At 41.6% G+C, this 23,321-nt stretch overlaps 1 protein-coding gene across 8 annotated transcripts in view, besides 1 other annotated feature; it reads left to right on the top strand.

Annotated features, from left to right (window-relative positions):
- ZC3H7A (zinc finger CCCH-type containing 7A) overlaps window positions 1–20,469 on the top strand; it is a 46,662-nt gene extending 26,193 nt beyond the window's left edge. For 6 of the 8 annotated variants that reach the window (NM_014153.4, XM_011522463.3, XM_047433996.1 and 3 more), the window contains 14 exons: window positions 79–283; window positions 1,971–2,035; window positions 2,565–2,751; window positions 3,488–3,649; window positions 5,381–5,577; window positions 5,913–6,013; window positions 7,407–7,588; window positions 8,319–8,395; window positions 9,023–9,156; window positions 9,555–9,660; window positions 12,527–12,635; window positions 14,696–14,829; window positions 18,234–18,397; window positions 19,560–20,469. In NM_014153.4, coding sequence (NP_054872.2) covers window positions 79–283; window positions 1,971–2,035; window positions 2,565–2,751; window positions 3,488–3,649; window positions 5,381–5,577; window positions 5,913–6,013; window positions 7,407–7,588; window positions 8,319–8,395; window positions 9,023–9,156; window positions 9,555–9,660; window positions 12,527–12,635; window positions 14,696–14,829; window positions 18,234–18,397; window positions 19,560–19,749 — 2,013 coding nt within the window. In that variant the 3' untranslated portion in view covers window positions 19,750–20,469. Of the gene's footprint in view, window positions 1–78; window positions 284–1,970; window positions 2,036–2,564; window positions 2,752–3,487; window positions 3,650–5,380; window positions 5,578–5,912; window positions 6,014–7,406; window positions 7,589–8,318; window positions 8,396–9,022; window positions 9,157–9,554; window positions 9,661–12,526; window positions 12,636–14,695; window positions 14,830–18,233; window positions 18,398–19,559 lie in introns of those variants that run through there. The other 2 variants (XM_047433998.1, XM_047433997.1) reach the window with 2 other exon arrangements.
- Window positions 1,925–2,034: an enhancer, noted in NCBI's record as "active region_10457". NCBI's record gives its function as "activates an Ori minimal core promoter by ATAC-STARR-seq in GM12878 lymphoblastoid cells {active_cell/tissue: GM12878}" and the evidence as "EXISTENCE:reporter gene assay evidence [ECO:0000049][PMID:35858748]".
- Window positions 20,470–23,321: the final 2,852 nt, after the last annotated feature.

The raw sequence follows: 23,321 nt of genomic DNA, 5'->3' as shown, positions 1-23,321 counted from the left end.
TTTGCTGGTGTTGAAAGTAGTTCAGCCAAACCCATGACAGCTTCATGAATTTTAATCACATCTTTTTTTCTTCCGCAGCCGTCAGCTTTAGTCAGAGGACCCCTTCAGACAGCCAGTGTCTCTCCTAGCATGCCCTTTTCGGCATCGCTGTTAGGAACCTTACCCATTGGTGCGAGGTATGCTCCTCCACCCTCCTTCTCAGAATTTTATCCACCTTTGACTTCATCCTTAGAAGATTTTTGTTCTTCTTTAAATTCATTTTCAATGAGTGAATCCAAACGAGGTAAGAACCAAATCTAAATTGTAAACAATTGCAGTTGATTTTCTCAAAATGAAAATGTTTGTTTGGCAATTATTTAACTGACTCTAGGTAGTAGACATGTGAATTATTTTCTTTGTAGCTAAAAATATAAAGACTAAGCCTTCAGTTTTGAATTTACCTTGACTTAGCTGTGCCATTCTGGAGACCCAGGAGCAAAGGCATGAGAAGAGAAATGTGTGTGGCACTGGTGTTTCTGTAGGATAGTTTGTTAAGCTGGGAGTTTATTGTTTTGGGGGTGAAATGACAATGTATTCTCCCGTAAAGGTGTATCTCATCTTAAAGGGTCTGAGAGACAGGCTATGCTATTAAATTCTGATCTAGGCAAACACTAATTTAAGATCAGTATTTAGAATGCTAGCAATCAGATGTGTCTATTTTAGGTTTCATCTGTGGAGCTCAGCAAACCGTGGCTGCTGCTTTAACTTTACAGGAGATTGCTGAGTTTGGAGTCTGACTCCTGTTTCTGTCATCCTAGGTTTAACATATATACTTCAAACAATCACTAGAAAAATATTTTTTTGAAGGCATTGTTACGTGGCTAAAAGGGCAAAAATCTTACATAATTGACTTAAAGATTGACTTAAAGAAATTAAAATATATGGGAGACAGAAGGGCAGAGAGAAAATAATTGAGTGCTAGACTAAGAAAAAGAAAGTAGGCTGGGTGTGGTGGCTCATGCCTGTAATCCCAGCACTTTGGGAGGCCGAGTCAGGAGGATCACTTGAGCTCAGGAGTTTGAGACCAGCCTGGGCAACATGGTGAAACCCTTTCTCTACAAAAAATATAAAAATTAGCTGGGTATGGTGTGTGCCTGTGATCCCAGTTACTTGGGAGGTGGAGGTGGGAGGATTCCTTGAGCCCAGGAGGTTGAGGCTGCAGTGAGCCAAGATCACACCCCTGCACTCCAGCATGGGTGACAGAATGAGACCCTTTCTCAAAAAAAAAAAAAAAAAAAAAAAGAAAGCAATTGAAAACTTTACTGATTTTTTTTTAAATGTTATGGTCAGTTCCTGCTTTTTTTTTTTTTTTTTTTGAGACAGAGTCTCACTCTGTTGCCCAGGCTGGAAAGCAGTGGCGAAATCTTGGCTCACTGCAACCTCTGCCTCTTGGGTTCAAGCGATTCTCCTGCCTCAGCCTCCTGAGTAGCTGGGATTACAGGCGCCTGCCATCACACCTGGCAAATTTTTTTTGTATTTTCAGTAGAGACAGGGTTTCACCATGTTGGCCAGGCTGGTCTCAAACTCCTGACCTCAAGTGATCTACCCACTTTGGCCTCCTAAAGTACTGGGATTGCCAGGTGTGAGCCACCGCACCTGGCCCCATATTTTCAAAAGGAAAGGCTCTTTTCCCATTTTTGAATATAAAGAATTTTCTTGGTGTTTTTAGTAGTTGCAGTTGGTGGGCCCTGCCTTAGCTTATTTTTCTGGAAGTAGGTTTTTATTTAAATTTGTTTGACTATGCCCTTGGTTTCTAGAGGAAAGCAGAGACTCTAGAGCCCTCTTTGGGTGTCAACCTTGAGCAAGAAAATTTCTAGAAACTGGGACGGGAGAATAGCGTGGGAGGCCATAGCCAGTAAGCTACTAAGCCCTGATGTTCTTATTACGTGATCAGAATGAAAAGGTCTGTTGAAGTTTTTTTATTATTTTAGATCTGTCCACCTCAACTTCTAGAGAGGGAACACCGCTTAACAACAGTAATTCTTCCCTTTTACTTGTAAGTGCCACTTCCTCTTTTGTAAATACATCGCTTGAATTGAAAATAGTTACTTAAGTAACCGAGTTATTTGAATGAACATGACAGTCTCCCTTAAATTTTGTGTGTGCTGCAGGAAATTGTGTTAAAGTAAGACTTCTGGAACATCTAGTAATAACGGCTCTGTGTTTAAGACTTGATCTGTCATAGCAAATTAATCGGTATTGCAGACAATGTAAGAGGCTTTAGCACAGCATAAACAAATCAAGGAAATATAAGATCGGGGCATGTAAAGCGTGTGTACTTTTGCAGTAGAACTTATTACTTATAATATGGAGGATCAAAAAAGTCGGGGGGTGACTAGAAACCAAAAGAGAGAAAAATGTAGAAAGAGACAGTTTTTAAGATAGAAGAGCATTAAGGATGGAGTAGTACTGACCTCAGTTTATGAAGATTATCTTATTTTTCAGATGAATTCAGTTCCTTTCTTCAGTGATAATGCAATATTTGTTGGCTGTTTTTTTTTTTTTTCTTCTTATTTTTCTTGCAGATGAATGGACCAGGTAGTTTGTTTGCTTCAGAGAATTTCCTGGGAATTTCAAGTCAGCCTAGAAATGACTTTGGAAACTTTTTTGGAAGTGCAGTTACCAAACCATCTTCATCAGTGACTCCAAGACATCCCCTCGAAGGAACCCATGAATTGAGACAAGCTTGCCAGATCTGTTTTGTAAAATCAGGTCAGGACCAAACAAACACGCAGAGAGTATTAAACTACTTGCTCATAACCTTGAAAGTTCTTAGGAATTTGTAAATACATGTTAACAACATCAGTTATTATGGTTCTTCAATCCCTATTTTGAATTCTTCCTAAACAAGTAGCAGTTACTGATTTAGTGCCTTTGGAGTATAATAGGATAAGGCTCTGCTCTTATTTGATGTCATTTTATTTATAGAATCATGTAGAATAGAATATTTACCTATTTTTGGAAGCTTATTGAAATTTTAATGAAACTCCTTATGTTCTCAGTGTATGCTTAAGAAGTTGATTATTTTCAAGTAGAGCAAGAACTAGAAAACAGCATTATAAGACCAGTATACAATACAATGTATATGAAAATTAAATACTTTCTGTTAGCTTGTTTCATATGTTTACCGTTAAATCAAGTGACATAAACACAGTTTATTCTGATTTATAAGCCATCAAAATTCCTCTCCAGATTATTTCCCTAAAGTTAAGTAAGGGTATTTTTTTTTGGCAGGAGTGGAGTTGAATAGAACATTGTGTTGTCTGATACATTATAAAAGGCACAAATCTACCTTAGTAGCCTACTTACATTTTAGGGTTGTGGAAGTGGGATTTCTGTGGGAATTTAATAATTGATGTTCATCTGTTCATGTCTGCTTGTAAATTTACCTGTAAAATGAAATGATATTTTTTGTGCATATAAGCAATCCTCTTTACATCTTTTTCAGGCCCTAAGTTAATGGATTTCACTTACCATGCTAACATAGATCATAAGTGTAAGAAAGATATTTTAATCGGTAGGATAAAGAATGTTGAAGATAAATCATGGAAAAAAATACGTCCAAGACCAACAAAAACAAATTATGAAGGACCATATTATATATGTAAAGGTATGTACTGTAATTACTTAATTAGTATACATTACATAAGTGATGAACTACAGTCATGCTTAGCTTAATGACAGGATACATTGTGAGAAATGCATCATTAGGGGAACATCACAGAGTACTTACACAAACCTCGATGGTGTAGCCGACGACGCACCTAGCCTATCCATGACATAGTCAGTGGCTCCTAAACTACAGACTTGTACAGTTTGTTACTGTACTGAATACTGAGGCTACTGTAACACAATGGTATCTGTGTATCTAAACATAGGAAAGGTACAGGAAAAACACAGTATTAATCTTATGGGACCACCATTATATATGCAGTCTGTAGTTGACTGAAATGTCAGTATGTGGTGTAGGACTGTGCTTGCTACATTTATTATAACATCTATTAATATGTAATTTATTACATTATGTTATTATAACAGTATTGACTGTTATAAAAAATGTTTAGAGCTAATAGCAAGTTCCTTGGATTGAGATGTTAATATTTTTTATATTATTTTTACTGTTGTATTTAACTTTTTCTTTTTTGAGACAGAGTCTCATTCTGTCATCCAGGCTGGAGTGTAGTGGCGCAATCTCGGCTCACTGCAACCTCTGCCTTCTGGGTTCAAGTGATTCTCTTGCCTCAGCCTCCCGAGTAGCTGGGATTACAGGCATGCGCCAGTACACCTGGCTAATTTTTGTATTTTTAGTAGAGACAGGGTTTCACTATGTTGCCTAGGCTGGTTTCAAATTCCTGGCCTCAAGTTATCTGCCTGCCTGGGCTTCCCAGAGTGTAAGGATTACAGGCATGAGCCACTGTACTGGCCAAGGTTTTATTTTATTTATTTATTTCTCAATTTTTTGTGACAGAGTCTCGCTCTGTCTCCCAGGCTGGGGTGCACAGGCACAATCTCGGCTCACTGCAACCTCTGCTTCCCAGGTTCAAGCAATTTTCTCATGACTCAGCTACCGAATAGCTGGAATTACAGGCGTGTGCCGCCCTGCCTCACTGATTTTTGTATTTTTTAGTAGAGATGGGTTTCTTCATGTTGGTTAGGCTCGTTTTGAAGTCCTGGCCTCAAATGATCTGCCTGCCTCGGCCTCCCAAAATGTTGGGATTACAGGTGTGAGCCACCACGCTTGGCCTATGACCAGATTTTAAACAGAAGACTGTCTCAAACCTTAAGTTCTCTCTAAACAGAATCAAAACACTGAGCTAAGGCTTTGAAAAGTGTTTAAGATGCTTTTGAGAGAACTTGGTATTTTCATGTTTGTCAAACAAGTTTGTGTGAATGAGCTTAGAATGTCCCTAAATGATTTTTTTTTTTTTCAGCTGAGGTGTGGTCCATGAGAGAATCAAGGCTCTTCTCACAGTCTGTGATAAAAATAATTAAGGCTTGTGGTACTTCTCTTTTTTAGAGTTGATACGATCCATCCCCAGATAATATGCATATCATTGTTTGAGGCTGTCCATGAATTGTTAGACAAGTTCAAATGATGCCCTAAATGTTATTTATATTCATTGGCTTTAAGGAAACAATTACCATCTTTTTTTGTTTGTTTGTTTATTTTGACACTGGGACTTGCTCTGTTGCCCAGGCTGGAGTGCAGTGGCAAGATCATTGCTCACCGCAGCCTTGAACTCCTGGGCTCAAGGGATCCTCCCACCTCAGCCTCCCAAGTAGCTGGGAGTACAGGCCAATTGCCATGTTTTCAATGTCTGTCCATTCCCTGTCTTTCTAGATGTTGCTGCTGAGGAGGAATGTAGATATTCAGGCCACTGCACGTTTGCTTATTGCCAAGAGGAGATAGATGTGTGGACACTGGAGCGGAAAGGAGCATTCAGCCGGGAGGCTTTCTTTGGCGGCAATGGAAAGATTAACCTTACTGTGTTCAAACTTCTCCAGGAGCATCTTGGGGAATTTATATTCCTTTGTGAGGTGTGTTCTCCAAAACTTATTTTCCACTGTAAAGTTGAATTTGCAAGCCCAGTGGTATTGTCCTGCCATGTGATAAAACATTCACTTGGTAAATGAATAAATATTCATTTATTTATATGATAAATAATATCATATTTATGAATAAAATATTCCTCTGGTCCTCCCATGTGATAAAACATTCATTCAGTAAATGTTGGCTATTACTGTTACCAAAAAGAATATTAAAACTTCATATTGAATATTAATTTTGTAATGATATTGAAACTAGGACAATATTCTGGGTACAAAATTTATATTTTGTATTTTTTTTGATAATCTTTCTCTCTCTATTCCAGAAATGTTTTGATCATAAGCCTAGAATGATAAGTAAAAGAAATAAAGATAATTCTACTGCTTGTTCTCACCCGGTTACAAAGCATGAGTTTGAAGACAATAAGTATGTTGATAGTTTCTAATTTCTGTAATGACAAAATAGATTCTTTTTCTAGATCTGAATAAAAACTAGTAGTAATGTCTGTCCAGGCATTGCCCTTTCATCGTTATGTTGTTATTTTGAAGAACAATGACAAAATTTTAAAATGTCTTTTAGTAGATTTGGCTGGAAAGTGAATAATTAACTAAATATATTATGTAAAACAGAAAAGCATTATTGATGTATAGTTTCTCATGACATGGATTTAGGTATTTTATGGCTTAAAATATAAGTACCCCCCCCAATTAATTCAACAATTGCATGTAGTGATTTGGTTTTTTTGTTTGTTTTTTTTGAGACAGAGTCTCGCTCTGTCACCCAGGCTGAAGTGCAGTGGCATGATCTTGGCTCACTGCAAGTTCTGCCTCCCAGATTCAAGTGAATCTCCTGCCTCAGCCTCTCGAGTAGCTGGGATTACAGACACCCACCACTAGGCCTGGCTAATTTTTTGTATTTTTTAATTTTTTTGAGACGAAGTCTTTTTCTGTTTCCCAGGCTGGAGTGCAGTGGCGCGATCTCAGCTCACTGCAACCTCCGCCTCCCGAGTTCAAGCGATTCTCCTGCCTCAGCCTCTCCAGTAGCTAGGATTACAGGCACGTGCCACCACACCCGTCTAATTTTTGCATTTTTAGTAGAGACAGGGTTTTACCATGTTGGCTGGGCTGGTCTTGAACTCCTGACCTCAAGTGATCCACCCGCCTTGGCCTCCCAAAGTGCTGGGATTATAGGAGTGAGCCATCACGCCTGGACAATTTTTTGTATTTTTAGTAGCAACAGGGTTTCAACATGTTGGCCAGGCTGGTTTCGAACTCTTGACCTCAGGTGATCCACCCGTCTTGGCCTCGCAAAGTGCTGAGATTACAGGTGTGAGCCACTGTGCCCAGCCCCCATGATTTTTTTTCCGATAAAAATTTAAAATGTAGGGCTGGGCTCCATGGCTCACGCCTATAATCCTAGCACTTTGGGAGGCCGAGGCAGGCGGATCACGAGGTCAGGAGATTGAGACCATCCTGGCTAACACGGTGAAACCCCGTCTCTATTAAAAATTAGCTGGGCGTGGTGGTGGGCGCCTGTAGTCCCAACTACTTAGGAGGCTGAGGCAGGAGAATGGTGTGAACCCGGAAGGCGGAGCTTGCAGTGAGCCGAGATCGCGCCACTGCACTCCAGCCTGGGCGATAGAGTGAGACTCCATCTCAAAAAAAAAAAAGAGAAAAAAAAATTTTAAATGTATTGTCAGTGTAGAACTTTATATATATATATATATATATATATATATATATATATATATATATATATATATATATATTTGAAAAATCTATGGCAGAACAATATTAAAATGTCACTGTTTTCATCTTAGGTGCCTTGTCCACATTTTGCGAGAGACAACAGTAAAATACTCCAAAATACGTTCTTTTCATGGTCAGTGTCAGCTTGATTTATGTCGACATGAAGTTCGGTATGGCTGTTTAAGGGAAGATGAGTGCTTTTATGCCCATAGTCTTGTGGAACTGAAAGTCTGGATAATGCAAAATGAAACAGGTAGGTTTGAGTGCGACTGAGAAGTATGTCTCCTCAAGAGCAGACAGGGTTTAATGAAACAGTAATTTGGGCCTGGCGTGGTGGCTCATGCCTGTAATCCCACTACTTTGGGAGGCTGAGGCAGATGGATCACTTGAGGTCAGGAGTTCAAGACCAGTCTGGCCAGTACGGCAAAATCCCCATCTCTACAAAAAATACAAAAATTAATCGGGCGTGGTGGTGGGCGCCTGTAATACCAGCTACTTGGGAGGCTGAGGCATGAGAATTGCTTAAACCTGGGAGGCAGAGGTTGCAGTGGGCCAGGATCACAACACTACGCTCCAGTCTGGGTGATAACATGAGACTGTCTCAAAAAAAAAAAAAACAAAAAGGAATTTGGAGACCTCCCCTTCTCCATCAACCAGATGTGGTGACGCTATTGATTTTGTCCTGAGCTTCAAACTTTTGATTTTTAGAGTTGCCTATTTTGAGTGTGTTCTCATGTCATTAATTACTGATACAAGTTGATACATGCAATTGTTGGGAGGAAAGATTCCTCAGAAGGCACAAAGAGCTGTATTTGTGTATATTCCATTTCAAAAAAGAGAAACGTGGTATTCATCCTTGCTGATGGATTAGGAGGTATGAGAATAGATTGGAAGCTGAAGGTTCTCCACGTCTGACTGCACCCAGATTGGTGGGCTGTTGTTCTTATAGATATAATTTAAAGGAAGGCTTGTACATTCCCCAGGTATCTCACATGATGCTATTGCTCAAGAGTCTAAACGATATTGGCAGAATTTGGAAGCAAATGTACCTGGAGCGCAGGTATTTTTCTCTTGTGTACTTTCTGCATTTGGTGTCCTTTCTGGAATTGCGTAATAGATGTTGGTTGTTGGTGGATGCAGTTAACACTTACAGTCCAGTTACTTTCTTAATATTCATTCAGGTGAGTCATTCTTATGTGAAAAAACAATTTGCATTTTAGTTGATCATCATAAAAAAATTATGCAGCCCACAATGCTTGCCAAGAGTGTAGGACACTGTTTTCTTATTTAGTTTAATTGACAAAACAACTGGAGTTCTGGGCTTTACGGGTTCTCGGAGTAAGGGGGTTAGATTATTTTTATAGTTTAGCTTTCCACCTGGCATGTCTCGTTTTTCCATTGCTCTCCCCTCAACACCCCTGACCCAAATGAAACAATTCTAGTCATCAATTTCAAAGATGAGTTTCATAAATTAAAGTTTGGCATCTATCATCTACTTTTATGATATTCTCTTACATTTGGGGGGAGAATTGGAGATTTAGTTATCAGATATAATGGTCAAATCAAGTCAGATAAAAATGGGAAATTGTATACTATTGTGAAAAAAATGCATCTTGATTTAGTATTTTGTCATCAGAAAACTGGTTTTCTGTTAAAAAAATTAAAACGAATCTTTTAATTGTTTAAGGTACTTGGTAATCAAATAATGCCTGGATTTCTTAATATGAAGATAAAGTTTGTGTGCGCCCAGTGTCTGAGAAACGGTCAAGTCATTGAACCAGACAAAAACAGAAAATATTGTAGTGCAAAAGCAAGGCATTCGTAAGTATTGTGTGTGGAAACAATTCCTATTTTGTAATTTTCTGTTTCGTAGGTATAAAATTATACACATAAGCAAAAAGTTTAAGGCTTTGAAGAGAGGAGAGAAAAATAGATAATTTAGGATAATTACAGACACAAGGGAAGAGATTTTTAGGACCTAGTAGATAAGAATTCACAAGTAGTGTTTTTTTCCTGTATTTTATCAATTTGTTTAGAGTTTGTAGGGAGTGTTTGTAAATGACAATAGGAAGTGAAAATACAGAATCATAAGGTATTTCTTTTAGAAGCATTGAGAAAAAAATTCTCTGGTTCCTCAGGTACAAACTTTGTGCCTCTCCCTTTGTGTTATGTCTTTTGCTCGTGTGTCTTTGTTTTTTTCTGAACTCCATTTTTCTTAGGTGGACCAAAGACCGGCGTGCGATGAGAGTGATGTCTATTGAACGTAAGAAGTGGATGAACATCCGTCCTCTCCCCACAAAGAAACAAATGCCTTTACAGTTTGATGTACATACGTAATTTTTAAGCCACTTTTTTTAAATTAGGCATTTCAAATCATTAGAAAATAGTAGTAATTCAGATTGAAACTCAAGCCCTTTAAATAATATTCGTCAGTAATAATGCTATTTAAATGGTTCCTCTTTGGTTTTCCTTCCCTTTAGTATATGTATGGTTCCATAGCAGTTTTCATATTGATTGGAATTTTATGAGTTACTTGGAAAAAGTAAATAGATAGTGGATCTGAGGAAAAGTTATGGGGACAATTTAACTTATTTTTTAGATGAATTACTTTGGAGAGGGAATGAGAGCAAATTTTATTTAATTGTGATTTCTTTGGTTTGATACCAAACCTCAGGTTTTCAGTATTATGAATGCTATTGATGAGTTTGTTTTTATCATGCCTTGTCTCTTTCACTGCAGCAAGGGATACGTAGCTACAAGACACCTAACTTTATAAGACTTTCTAAAAGTAACCCAAAGAAAAATGTTCAATGTTAGAGGAACATGTTCTTCAAAAACTAGAAAATACTAGGCTAACTTAAAGTTAGGACAGTATTTCATTCACACAGTGCCACATTTCATCTTGGTACACTGTAGCACCTTACCTGATCTTGAAGATGATTGTCTGAGCAAACCACTTGAGTTGTCCTGGACTTTCCTCTTCATGAGAGAGAGGGTCTGGAGAGCATCTAGAGGCACTTCACACGTGCGTTAGCAGACAGGGACACTTGGAGCATCTACAGGTAGTAAGCTCTCTACCTGGATGGAGGAAATGTGGAGGGAACCTTTTGCCCAGAGAAGCAGGGCAGATGGACTGTAGAGTCCCCGTGTAAATGAGGCCTCTCTCTGAACTGCAAGAAGGAGTTGAAGAAGAGGTAGATGTATTTTTCACCACCTACAGTACCTTGCAGTTTTGTAAAACTTACACAAGTAACACAGCCAGCCTTTTCAAGGCGTTGGTAGGTTTGTGTTTTATCCAAAGTGGTTTTAGACTCAGATTTTATTAATGGGTTATGTAGGAGGGGGAAAGGGGTTTATTTGGAACCTTGATTTCCTGTGGTTTAAAGGATGATGGAGATAATATGTATATCAAGTACTTTGATAAAATGAGTACAACTGAGAACAACCCTGGTTCCTGAGGCAGCTGCTTAGAGTATTGGTTATTCTTTAATTTTGAACATGGTGTACTACTGTGCAACATTACAGTAGCTTATTTCCTCTTTTTTTTCCCCTGCCATACTAGGTATTGCTAAGGGACTTTTTTTCTTTTTTTTTTTTTTTTTTTTTTTCATTTTTTCTTGCTCTGTCACCCAGGCTGGAGTGCAATGTTGCGATCTCCGCTCACCGCAGCCTCCACCTCCACCTCCTGGGTTCAAGCAATTCTTCTGCCTCAGCCTCCCGAGTAGCTGGGATTACAGGCGTGTGCCACCACGCTCAGCTAATTTTTGTAATTTTTTTTTTAGTAGAGACGAAGCTTCACCATGTTGGCCAGGCTGGTCTCGGACTCTTGACCTCAAGTGACCCACCCGCCTTGGCCTCCCAAAGTGTTGGGATTACAGGCGTGAGCCACCGTGCCCGGCCCGGGACCTTTTTTCTTAAAGAAGAAATTATACTGTATGTGTGTATGTGTGTAGAGAGTGTGGTGAGGCTTAAAGACAATGGGCTTCAAAGTCTGCCAGAAGGGCCCCAGTCAAGTTATTCAGCCTCAGTTTGCTCACCTGTAATTGGGAATAATTATGTGTGATGGTGTTATGTAAACACCTGGCACAGTGCCTGGCCTTCTCCTTTACCTGCTTTTCTTCCTGCTCCTTATCATTGAGCTTTGAAAGACTATGGTAAATGTTTCCCTAGTAATATGACTAAGTACTTACTGGGGTTTGACGGGGGAAAGAATATGACTATTTTATCCAGTACTGACTTTATGCAGAAGATTTTAAGGGTGGGGTCACTGACATTGGTCCAAGGGAGGAAATGTACAGTGTTAAGGGGGCTGAGCGAGTTTTAGCCAAAACTCTGAAAAACGTGACAGATGCTAAGCATTTAATGCCACGTAAGCTAAATAATGTAGGGCCAGCTGCCGTTGAAGCACAAACTAAGATAAGCTAATAATTAGTTGTACTAGGATTTATACCTCATACAGACAAGTAGGTTGATGGTATTCAAGAATGCATTCTCCGTGATGGAGGTTTTCTTGGTTCCTGGCTCATAATTCTTAGGGAAGTCTGCGTTCTGCTGATCACGATCACTTTATTTTCCTACCAGTATCACTGTATTTACTTTGTTAAATAAAAATACAAATAACCTGAAGAGGTATTATTTGAAAGCTGTGTAACTCCATGGTATGGCTAGTGTGATAATTGTCTTCTGATAATGCATATGTAGTGAATTATGGCCGAGGTTAGTTTCCAGTACTGGTTATAAGTAAGTTAAATTTCTGAAATGTTTTGGGCACTGTTCAGTACCCTTTGGAGTAGCCTGCAGTTTCTTTACTGCTTTCAAGTGCTGATGTGGAGGAATCATTAGTGTTGGGCAGGGAAACAGGAGCTGTCAGACTGAGAGGGCCAGGGATGTTCATTGTGGAGATTAAATGTTCTGAGTAAGTGAGTTTGTAGACATTTTCTTGTAAGAAAATGTTCCATGCTTTACTCTGTTTTGGACATTTTCTTTTGAAAAATTTTGAGATAGAAACCTTAATATCATTTCATATATTTAGAGCATATAGTTAATTTGAGTAGAGTCAAATTAATCTTACTTTAGAATTTGATTACTAAGTATTAGCATGGATAATAATGCTTCTTTTGCTTAAATGTAAAAATTAGGCCGTTTTACTAGGTGTACTTTGTCTTAATCATATTCCTATTTTTTTATACAGCTGTGCAACCATATTGCTTCTGGGAAAAAATGTCAATATGTTGGAAACTGTTCCTTTGCTCATAGTCCTGAGGAAAGAGAAGTTTGGACTTACATGAAGGAGAATGGGAGTAAGTTAATCTTTTAGCTGTGTCCTTGAGCTAGCTTGCCTGAAAGTTCTTTTCCTCTCTATAAATATGCCAGCTTCCTGTGAACACAGAAAGCAGTTTGCATTCTAAACGGTTGCCCCGTTTCATCAGTAGCTCTGTTGGCGATGATGCCTGGAAAATGTGGGCACAGCCTCAGTGGGGTAGAATGTGGCGTCTGATCTGTGTTTGGTTAGGTCAGATTTGGATATAAATATATAGGTCTGCATGCATCCTTACATGTAATAGATGTATTCCTAAAAAATGGCCTGGGGAAGTTCAGTACTCCCTTGACTGTTTAAATCAGATCATCTGCTCGTATTGGAAATAGTTTGCCCTCTGAATTAACCAGGTTAGAATTGGCAGTTTCTTCAGGGAGGCATTACTAATCAAACAGGCTCAGAATCAGAGGTCCAAGGAAAGAATGTTTATTTTGGTCAAATTCCAAGTTTATTGTGGGAGCCTTTGAGAGGAGCCGCAGACAGCCTTTCACTTTTGACCATAAAATGTTTTACTACAAGGATCATTATTCTTTAATCTTAAGTAAACTGATGAAAGGTATACTGACTGCAGTCTCTGGATTATAAGAACCAACCAGATTTGACTGTTGCCTGCCATGTTTCAACCACATAGATCGTCAGTGGTGTGTGGACGGGATTCCCTCTAGCTGTCTTGCTGGGAGTGAGGCTATGTAGTCCGGCCTGACTGAAGATGCCCTTGCGCACCAGGCTTTTGCAATGACTCCTGCCACCACTGGTCTTAAGGAAGAAGCATTTCTAGTTTATCTCTAATCTTTGCCTGATGATACATTGTTAGAAACCATTAGGCAGACAACAAAGCCAAGTTTTAACCAGGTCCTCATTACCAGAGTTTTTAGCACAGTGGTTCTCAACTGGGAACAAATTTTTTTTTTTTTTTTTTTTTTTTTTTTTGAGACAGAGTCTCGCTTTGTCACCCAGGCTGGAGTGCAGTGGCGTGATCTCGGGTCACTGCAAGCTCCGCCTCCCGGGTTCACACCATTCTCCTGCCTCAGCTTCCCGAGTAGCTGGGACTACAGGCGCCTGCCACCACACCCGGCTAATTTTTTGTATTTTTAGTAGAGCCGGGGTTTCACCGTGTTAGCCAGGATGGTCTCGATCTCCTGACCTTGTGATCCACCCGCCTCAGCCTCCCAAAGTGCTGGGATTACAGGCGTGAGCCACCGTGCCCGGCTGGGAACAAATTTTGCCACTCCCCTTCCCTGTGGACATTTGGCAATGTCTGGAGATATTTTCATTGTCATGACTGGCAGAAGTTGCTCAGGCATCTAGTGGGCAGAGGCCAGGGATGCTACTCACCATCCTGTAATGCACAGGGCATACCCCCAGCAAAGAATTCTCTAGCCAGAATGTCAACCACATGGAGGCTGAGAAACCTCAGCTTTAGCACTTGGCAATAATGCAGAATACACCTGTTCTTACCATAGGAAGCAACTGGCAGCCACTGCCCAGGACTTGGTCATGGTTGTCTTGTCAGTTGCAGCCCAGCATATCCGCCCTCTGGGACTGTGGCTTGACTGATGGACTCCCATCAGGGTCAGAATCTTGGTCCAGTAGTAGTATGTTTCTCATCTTTCTCAGTAAGCAGTGAGGAGTGTATCAGCTCCAAGTCCCCCAAGCCACGTAAGTAGCCTTGTGTGGTTCTAGCTCTGACACTGAGTGTGGAACGTAGGGCGACAGAGGCAGTGGTGAGGCTTTTGTGACAATACTGTTTATAATGGTTTCTGAGTTTTAAACATCCCCAAAGTGTCGTGCAAATGCAGGGAGGGGTTAATTAATCCTGAGAACTAATATTTGCCATCTAACAGTCCTGAAAGTAGTTCTTATGCGTGAGAGTTTACCTGCTGCTTGAACTGGGTGATCTCTCCATGTCTAATATAATAGTCTCCTTCAGCCCCCTTGAGTTTCTTTTGAACTGTATGCTGACTGCTACAAAATATGCACATAGTTGCATGTATTTAAATGGAGTTTAGTTGCTGCTGCTGAAAGTAATTCATTTTTCTTTAGTACAAGATATGGAGCAATTTTACGAACTATGGCTCAAGAGTCAAAAAAATGAAAAAAGTGAAGACATAGCCAGTCAGTCAAACAAGGAAAATGGAAAACAAATTCACATGCCAACAGATTATGCTGAAGTTACAGTGAGTACCGTGCGTCATTTACCCTCTCTTTGCCGAGCCATTGATGGAGCCTTTCTTTTCCCTTTTCTTTTTTTTGAGATGGAGTCTCGTTGTGTCACCAGGCTGGAGTGCAGTGGTGTGATTTCAGCTCACTGCAACCTCCGCCTCCCTGGTTCAAGCAATTCTCTTGCCTCAGCCTCCCAAGTAGCTGGGATTATAGGCTCGCGCCACCACGCCCAGCTAATTTTTGTATTTTTAGTAGAGATGGAGTTTCACCATGTTGGCCAGGATGGTCTCGAACTCCTGACCTCGTGATTTGCCTGCCTCGGCCTCCCAAAGTGCTGGGATTACAAGCGTGAGCCACCATGCCCGGCCTTTCTTTTCTTTCCCATCTTCTCCAAAACCCGGCTCCGTCACTCACTGCCTGCCCTTCTCTGTTCTGTGTCTTCATCTTCTCTCTCTAGTGGTTTCCTGCCACTAGCTTAAGTCTCCTCATGTGAAAAAATCCTTTCTTCAATCCTTCTGACTTTGGAGCCAGAGAATCATAAGTCCAAGTCCTGGTTTCTCTCCTTACTTGCCTGGCACCCTGGGTAGATTATTTATGTCTCCGAGTGGGGTTGTCCTGATGGATTAGTGAAGTATGAGGAGTCTGTGACTCTTCCCTAGTGGGAGGCCCCAGCAGGTGGCTCAGGAATGTGGGCTGTCTACCCCGCTGGACCTTACATTCCCCGCTTACGCCTGCAGTCTGGCCTCTCCCTCTATGGTTCTTGGGGACATTAAGTTACCAGTGGTCTGTTAACTGTTTTGGTTTTCTTTTAAAAATTTCAAAAAAGTGAAGAGGATACTATAACAAATATCTTGAGCCCACCATCGCAAGTTAACTGATGTTAACAATTTGTTGTAGTTCCTATTATAAAATAAATAAATGCCACAGATAAAGTTAGAACCCCATATGTTCCCCTCCCCAGGGGAACAGATCCAGTGTGTATTTTTCCAGGCCATGTTTACCTAAGGATGACACATTTATTCTATTTTTTTTTTTTTTTTTGAGATGGAGTCTTACTCTGTTGCCCAGGCTGGAGTGCAATGCGGTAGTCTTGGCTCACTGCAACCTCCGCCTCTCGGGTTCAAGCGATTCTCCTGCCTCAGCCTTCTAAATAGCAAGGGATTATAGGCGCCTGCCACCACGCCCGGCTAATTTTTTGTGTTTTTGGTAGAGACGGGGTTTCACCATGTTGGCCAGGCTGGTCTCAAACTCCTGAGCTTGTGATCCACCCGCCTCAGCCTTCCAAAACCGTGGGATTACAGGCATGAGCCACTGTGCCCGGCCAACACATGTATTCTTTTTTTTTTTTTTTTTTTTTGTGAGACGGAGTCTCGCTCTGTCGCCCAGGCACGAGTGCAATGATGTGATCTTGGCTCACTGCAACCTCTGCCTCTCAGGTTCAAGCAATTCTCCTGCCTCAGCCTCCCGTGTAGCTGGGACTACAGGTGCCGGCCACCACGCACGGCTAATTTTTGTATTTTTAGTAGAGACGGAGTTTCACCATGTTGGTCAGGCTGGTCTCAAACTCCTGACCTTGCGTGATCTGCCCGCCTCAGCCTCCCAAAGTGCTGGGATTACAGGCGTGAGCCACCGTGCCCAGCTACATTTATTCTTAAATAATCTATAGTTCCACTTGATGTGGTTTTAAAAGTTTACATAAGCATATGTGTTACTGCCCTTATTTCTTGTTTTTTGGCACCTCCGTCTCTCTGTTGATTCAGTCAGATCCAGTTTCATTGCCCATTGCAGGCCTTGTGTGTGGCCTGGCCTTGCCCAGCGTCTCTCTGCTTGTGACATGCCCTGTGAATGTTTACCTTTGTCACATTGATTCCCTTGCTACCTTTACTTAAGTGCTCCTTGGTGTTTATTTTATTATATATATATATATATTTTTTTTTCTTCCTTTTTTTTTTTTTTTTTGAGACAGGGTCTCACTCTGTCATCCAGGCCGGAGTACAGAGGCACAGTTATGGCTCACTGCAGCCACTACCTCCTGGGCTCAGGTGATCCTCCGACCTCAGCCTCCTCAGTAGCTAGGACTGCAGGTGCTCTCCACCATGCCTGGCTAATTTTTGTATTTTTTGTAGAGATGGGGATTTTGCCATGTTGCCCACGCTAGTCTGAAACTCCTGTGCTCAAGCACTCCTCCTGCCTCGGCCTCCCAAAGTGCTGTGATTATAGGCATGAGCCACTGCGCCCAACTGCTCCTTGGTGTTTCTAGAGCAGGTCACCTCGACTTGTTGGATCATAAGGCTTACCTGGGGCCGGGCATGGTGGTTCATGCCTGTAATCCCAGCAATTTGGGAGGCCGAGGCAGGTGGATCACCTAAGGTTAGGAGTTCAAGACCAGCTTGGCCAACTTGGTGAAACCCCTTCTCCACTAAAAATGCAAACAATTAGCTGGGCATGGTGGCAGGTGCCTGTAATCCCAGCTACTTAGGAGGCTGAGGCAGGAGAATTGCTTAAACCTGGGAGATGGAGGTTGCAGTGAGCCAAGATCGCATCACTCCACTCCAGCCTAAGCAACAGAGTGAGACTCTGTCTCAAAAATAAACAAATAAATAAATAAGGCCTACCTGGGGTGTTTCATAATAAGGAGTCTTAGAGCTGGGCGTGGTGGCTTGCACCTGTAATCCTAGCCACTCAGGAGGCTGAAGTGGGAGGACCACTTGAGCCCAGGAGTTCAAGGCTGCAGTGAGCTATGATCGCACCACCATACTCTAGCCTGGATGACAGCGAGACCATGTCTCTAAAAAAATAAAGTAATAAAAAGTCTTCATTTATACCCCACAATGAATGAGTTCAAATCTGTTTTTACCCAGTGTTGCAGATAATTATTGCCCAGGACATTTGGGAAATACTATCCAACACTTATAGTTTGCATCTGTTGTAGCACTTAAATCCCCTCATAACACTTCCTTTTGTATAGGTCTGTTCCCCACAGGGGCAGTGTCTTTAAATTCCTGATGCCACAGCAGTGGCTCAGTTCACGTACACTGAAGGGAGCTGCTGCTCGTCCTTTTGGAGTTGGCATGTCCTGGTCTTTCTCATCCTTTCTGCTTTTCCTCATGGTGTTAGTTCTTCCCTGAATCCTTGTTTGTACCTGCCTCTTGTTCTCCCAGCAAACATCCTTGTTTGCATACCAGCTCCTATTGCCTCTTTACCGGAGATTTCCTGGACAGCTGGCAGCATTTGTCACCCTTCTTCTCTGTGTCCTGAGTGCTGGCTTGCTTCCCCATGCTGTGGTCCTTTCCTTGTCCCTATTTCTAACCTGAGTTTTATGTCTTGCCTGGCTCTCCCACCAGCCTGGGCTCCCTGGAATTGAGTCTGGATCTCACATCAGGTGACTAATGGGACATGTGTCTTTGCTGCACATTAGGTGGACTTTCACTGCTGGATGTGTGGGAAAAACTGCAACAGTGAGAAGCAGTGGCAGGGCCACATCTCCTCCGAGAAGCACAAAGAGAAGGTTTTCCACACCGAGGACGACCAGTACTGCTGGCAGCACCGCTTCCCAACAGGCTATTTCAGTATTTGTGATAGGTATGTAGGTTTCTACAATTTTTCCATGTCAGAATTGCTGACCTCAAATTTTCATGGACATGTCAGCTGACACGGAATACCTGGGTGTTAAAGTTCTAATGTTGCTGTGCTCTGACAGACCCTGAAGGATTCTTGGGTTTTGGCTCAAAGTGTTTCGCTGCTCATCAAACCATTCCTTTCACTCTTCTTAGGTTATATGAAAAGATTTAATAGTCTTCCAATACTAATTTGAAATGTCTTAGGATAATTGAATAGAGAAGCATGTTCATTCCAATTTGCCCAAATGACCTTTGTGTTCACAGCTGTGATTCTCAAACCCTTTGCCACAACCTTTGCTCACAGTAAATGTTCATCAGATTTGAAATGGCTTTTACATTATATTTAAAATCTAGAACTTAGATCAAAGGAAGATGTTAATATGTATCACTCCTTTGTTTAAGTTTTCTTAGAAAATTTTTCAACGCAGCCGGGCATGGTGGCTACGCCTGTAATCCCAGCACTTTGGGAGGCTGAGGCGGTTGGGTCACTTGAGGCCAGGAGTTCGAGACCAGCCTGGACAACATGGTGAAACCCTGTCTCTACTAAAACTACAAAAATTAGCCGGGCGTGGTGGCAGGTGCCTGTAATCCCAGCTACTCAGGAGGCTGAGGCAGGACAATCACTTGAACCCAGGAGGTGGAGGTTGTAGTGAGCCGAGGTTGCGTTACTGCACTTCAGCCTGGGCAACAAACAGTGAGACTCTGTCTCAAAAAAAAAAAAAAAAAAGGTTTTTCAGTGAAAAACTAAGTAATTCTGAATTGCTTATTTTATTAAATCACTGTTAATATTTAATTCCCTAATTTAGATCCATGTGATCCTTAAAACTATTGAAGACATTTTTTTCCTTGATGCCGCCTCTGATTTCTTTCTACTACATTCAGGAACAACTATAGTCTTTTTTCTCCTATCAGTCAGTACTTTTCATAGAGTATATTTAAATAAAGTACTGATTTTTCTATTGTAGATGTCATGGCTATAAAATATTTACCATTCTAGGCTTGAGATTCCTAACTAAAAGTTGTATGCAAATCATAAAGCTAGTGAAATATACAGTTTCAAGAATCATGACACGATTTTTAGAAACAACTTATATGGACACTGAGCAGCTGACTTCTCCTTACAGGTATATGAATGGCACCTGCCCAGAAGGAAACAGCTGTAAATTTGCACATGGAAATGCCGAACTTCATGAATGGGAAGAAAGAAGAGATGCCCTAAAGATGAAGCTCAACAAAGCACGAAAAGATCACTTAATTGGCCCAAATGATAATGACTTTGGAAAATATAGTTTTTTGTTTAAAGATTTAAACTAATATGCTGGCTTTTATGTATGATACCTAATCAGAGCATTGACCAGAAAAATTGAAAGTGTTCTGAGGCACATAGCAGAGGAGCTGCAGATTTCCTGCTTGTATTGGCGTATATCGTTCCTCCTGAGCAGCAACCCACAGTAGGTAGGAAAATGGGCTGTTTCACAGGCCTGGCCACGCTCTCACGGAACCACTGGCATCAGATGGTGAAGTGACTGCTACCCGGTTGCCATCTGTTGAACAGACTTTTGGATGAAGTGTGTTGGGGAAGAGGATAAGGTTATATCTAGGACAACTCTTTGAGTTGGTCCTTCATATAAGAATCGTGACGGTAAGAGAATAAACACTTGTACTGGGATCAGAATACATGATGGATGAAATTCTTTACATGTTTTAGCAGAATGAATTTGTTTAATATAATAAAGTTTGCTACTTATCTGTATGTAGGTTGCTAAAAAGGATTTTCTTAACTCAGATTTTAAGCCAAATAACCATTTAACACTAGTATTTGTTAAATGGGGTATTTTTCTGTATTTGTATGTTTCACTATAATAAGGGAATTAAGGATAATGTGCATTGAGAATATTTTGAAAAATAATTGACTCAAATTTTATTTCTTGGTCTTTTGCTGTTTAAATGATGATTTTGAAAGATTAAACCTGTACTGTTGGTATTGTGTTAGTGTATGGACCAATACTGCCTGTAATAAAGATTTTATATATAGATGCCTTTCATTTTTTCCTGTGGTCCTTTCCCACAAAGAATTGTTGAAACTGGGTACAAAAATCAAGATGGTTTTTTCAAAAACATTTTCATTTAGGCAGTGACTGACAGAATGCAAATTGGGACATGAAAGCAGCTTTTGACTTCGTCCTCCTCTCCTCCGAATTTGGGCTCCGGGACTCTTACTGATCGGCTCTTCTAGGTAGCTCTTCCTGGGGCTCCTGTGTTTCATTCAAATGAGCTACATGAGCAGGGAGAAAAAATGGTCAGCTGGTAAGACTTGGGCTGGAATACCACCAAGACGGCTGTTTGGCATAACACCTTTGATAGGGCTCAGAGACTTTAAAGTCAGGATCTACTGGGCTGTGATGTAGCAAGCCTTTAAACCCTTGAGCAAAGTCACTTCCTCATGGGAACGTTGAATGTGTGGGATGTGGGGAAACAGAAAAGGGTCTTTTTTCTGGGTGAGCCGATCAATGGAGAGAGGAGGGCATGGCTGCAAGGAGTGAGAGAAATGGAGTGACATGGGATACCATGTGTGACTCTCTAAAAATACTAGGAGAGTCTGGTTCCCTCCATGTGTCGGGGGCAGTGGAGGCCAGTCACTGAACAAGGGGCATCGGGAGTGCATCTTTTTATTTATTTATTTATTTATTTATTTAATTTTTTAGGTGGAGTCTCGCTCTGTCGCCCAGGCTGGAGTGCAATGGCACGATCTCAGCTCACTGCAAGCTCCGCCTCCCGGGTTCATGCCATTCTCCTGCCTCAGCCTCCTGAGTAGCTGGAACTATAGGCGACTACCACCACGCCCGGCTAATTTTTTTTTTCCTTTTTGTATTTTTAGTAGAGATGGTTTCACCGCGTTAGCCAGGATGGTCTCCATCTCCTGACCTCGTGATCTGCCCGCCTCGGCCTCCCAAAGTGCTGGGATTACAGGCGTGAGCCACCGCGCCCGACCCAGGAGTGTATCTTTCTTTTTTTTTTTTTTTTTTTGAGATGGAGTCTCGCTCTGTCGCCCAGGCTGGAGTGCAGTGGCACGATCTCGGCTCACTGCAAGCTCCGCCTCCCGGGCTCACGCCATTCTCCTGCCTCCCGAGTAGCTGGGACTACGTTGAGCCACCGCGCCCGGCCTCAGGGGTGCATCTTAACTGCAAAAATAATCGTGTGTTAGGGTGATGTTTGCTGTAGAATGAAATGGTAATGTTATTCTGCTGAGTTTCCCTAGTCTGATGATGGTTGTTACATTTTTTCCTTCCATGTAATTTCTCCCAAACTCCTTATATCCTCTTCTTCCAGGGAGAATAGATAATAAAAAGTTGTCTCTGGGCCAGGCACAATGGCTCACACCTGTAATCCCAGCATTTTGGGAGGCCGAGACGGGAGGCTCACTTTAGGTCAGGAGTTCAAGACTAGCCTGGTCAACATGGTGAAACCCCATGTCTATTAAAAATACAAAAATTCGCCGGGTGTGGTGGCGGGTGCCTGTAATCCCAGTTACTTGGGAGGCTGAGGCAAGGAGAATCGCTTGAACCCGGGAGGTGGAGGTTACTGAGATCAGACAGTGTCTCACTCTGTAGCCCAGGCTGGAGTGCAATGTCATGATCTTGGCTCACTGCAACCTTTGCCTACCGGGCTCAAGCGATCCTCCCACCTCAGTCTCCCGAGTAGCCGGGATTACAGGCACACACCACCATGCCTGGCTAATTTTTGTATTTGTGGTAGATATGGGGGCTTCACCAGGTAGGTCTTGAATTCCTGGTCTCAAGTGATTACCCCACCTCAGCCTCCCAAAGTGCTAGGATTACAGGTGTGAGCTACTGCACCCAGCCTGTTTAATGATTAAAAAGCCAGTTGCTTTAACCTTTGGAATCTAGGCTAAAAACAACCTTTGACGATCATATGAGTGTTGAGATTTTTTTTCCAAACTCTCCCTGCATTTTCTGTGCTTCAGCTTTCCACCTTCTCAGCAATTCTCTAAGCTCTGAACCATCTTTTTGGTAAATTCCATTTCTGCTAACTCAGCCAGTTTCATGCTCTGGTTTGCAGCTAAGAACCCTGCCTGCCACACAGCCTTGGTCTCAGCATTAGGAAGTCAATGTTAATTACTCTGGTGAGATCACACCCCCATCCTGCAAGTGCTGGGTTTACTGCAGCAGCTTTGGAGAAGAGCATGGTGCGCAGGGAGGGGATAAAAGGAAAGAGAAAAAAAAGTGAACAAGCAAACTCCAATCCCATTTTATTCGTAGAGGAAAGTAATAACTAGTGTGTCAGCTCAGGCATGTTATCTGATTTCTTTTTTAATGTTTAAAAAATGACTGAGATACAATTCACTTGACAAACTTCACCATTTGTAAGCATACAATTCGGTGGTGTTTAGCATAGCATATTCACAATGTTGTGCTATCGTCACCACAATCAATTCTAGAATATTTTCATTCCCTAAATAAAGCCCACACGCCTTAGCCATCACTCCCAGAATCTACACACTTGTCCTGCCTCTCAAACTGTGGACATCCATTAACCTGCCTTCTGTCTCCAGGGATTCTCCTGTCCTAGACATTTCGTATAAATGGAATCATAATATGTGGCCTTTTACGACTGGCTTCTTTCCTTAGCATAATTCTCCAGTGCTCACCTGTGTCGTGGCATGTATCAGTACTTCATTACTTTTTTTTTTTGACATGGAGTTTCGCTCGTCTCCCAGGCTGAAGTGCAGTGGCGCAATCTTGGCTCACTGCAACCTCTGTATCCTGGGTTCAAGCAATTCTCCTGCCTCAGCCTCCCGAGTAGCTGGGATTACAGGCATACACCACCATGCCCAGCTAATTTTTTTGTATTTTTGGTAGAGACGG

This window comes from Homo sapiens, chromosome 16 (assembly GCF_000001405.40).
Source record: "Homo sapiens chromosome 16, GRCh38.p14 Primary Assembly".
In the NCBI taxonomy this organism is placed as follows: domain Eukaryota; kingdom Metazoa; phylum Chordata; class Mammalia; order Primates; family Hominidae; genus Homo; species Homo sapiens.
Note: the sequence above shows the minus strand (reverse complement) of the source record. Positions and strands in the feature narration are given on the sequence as shown.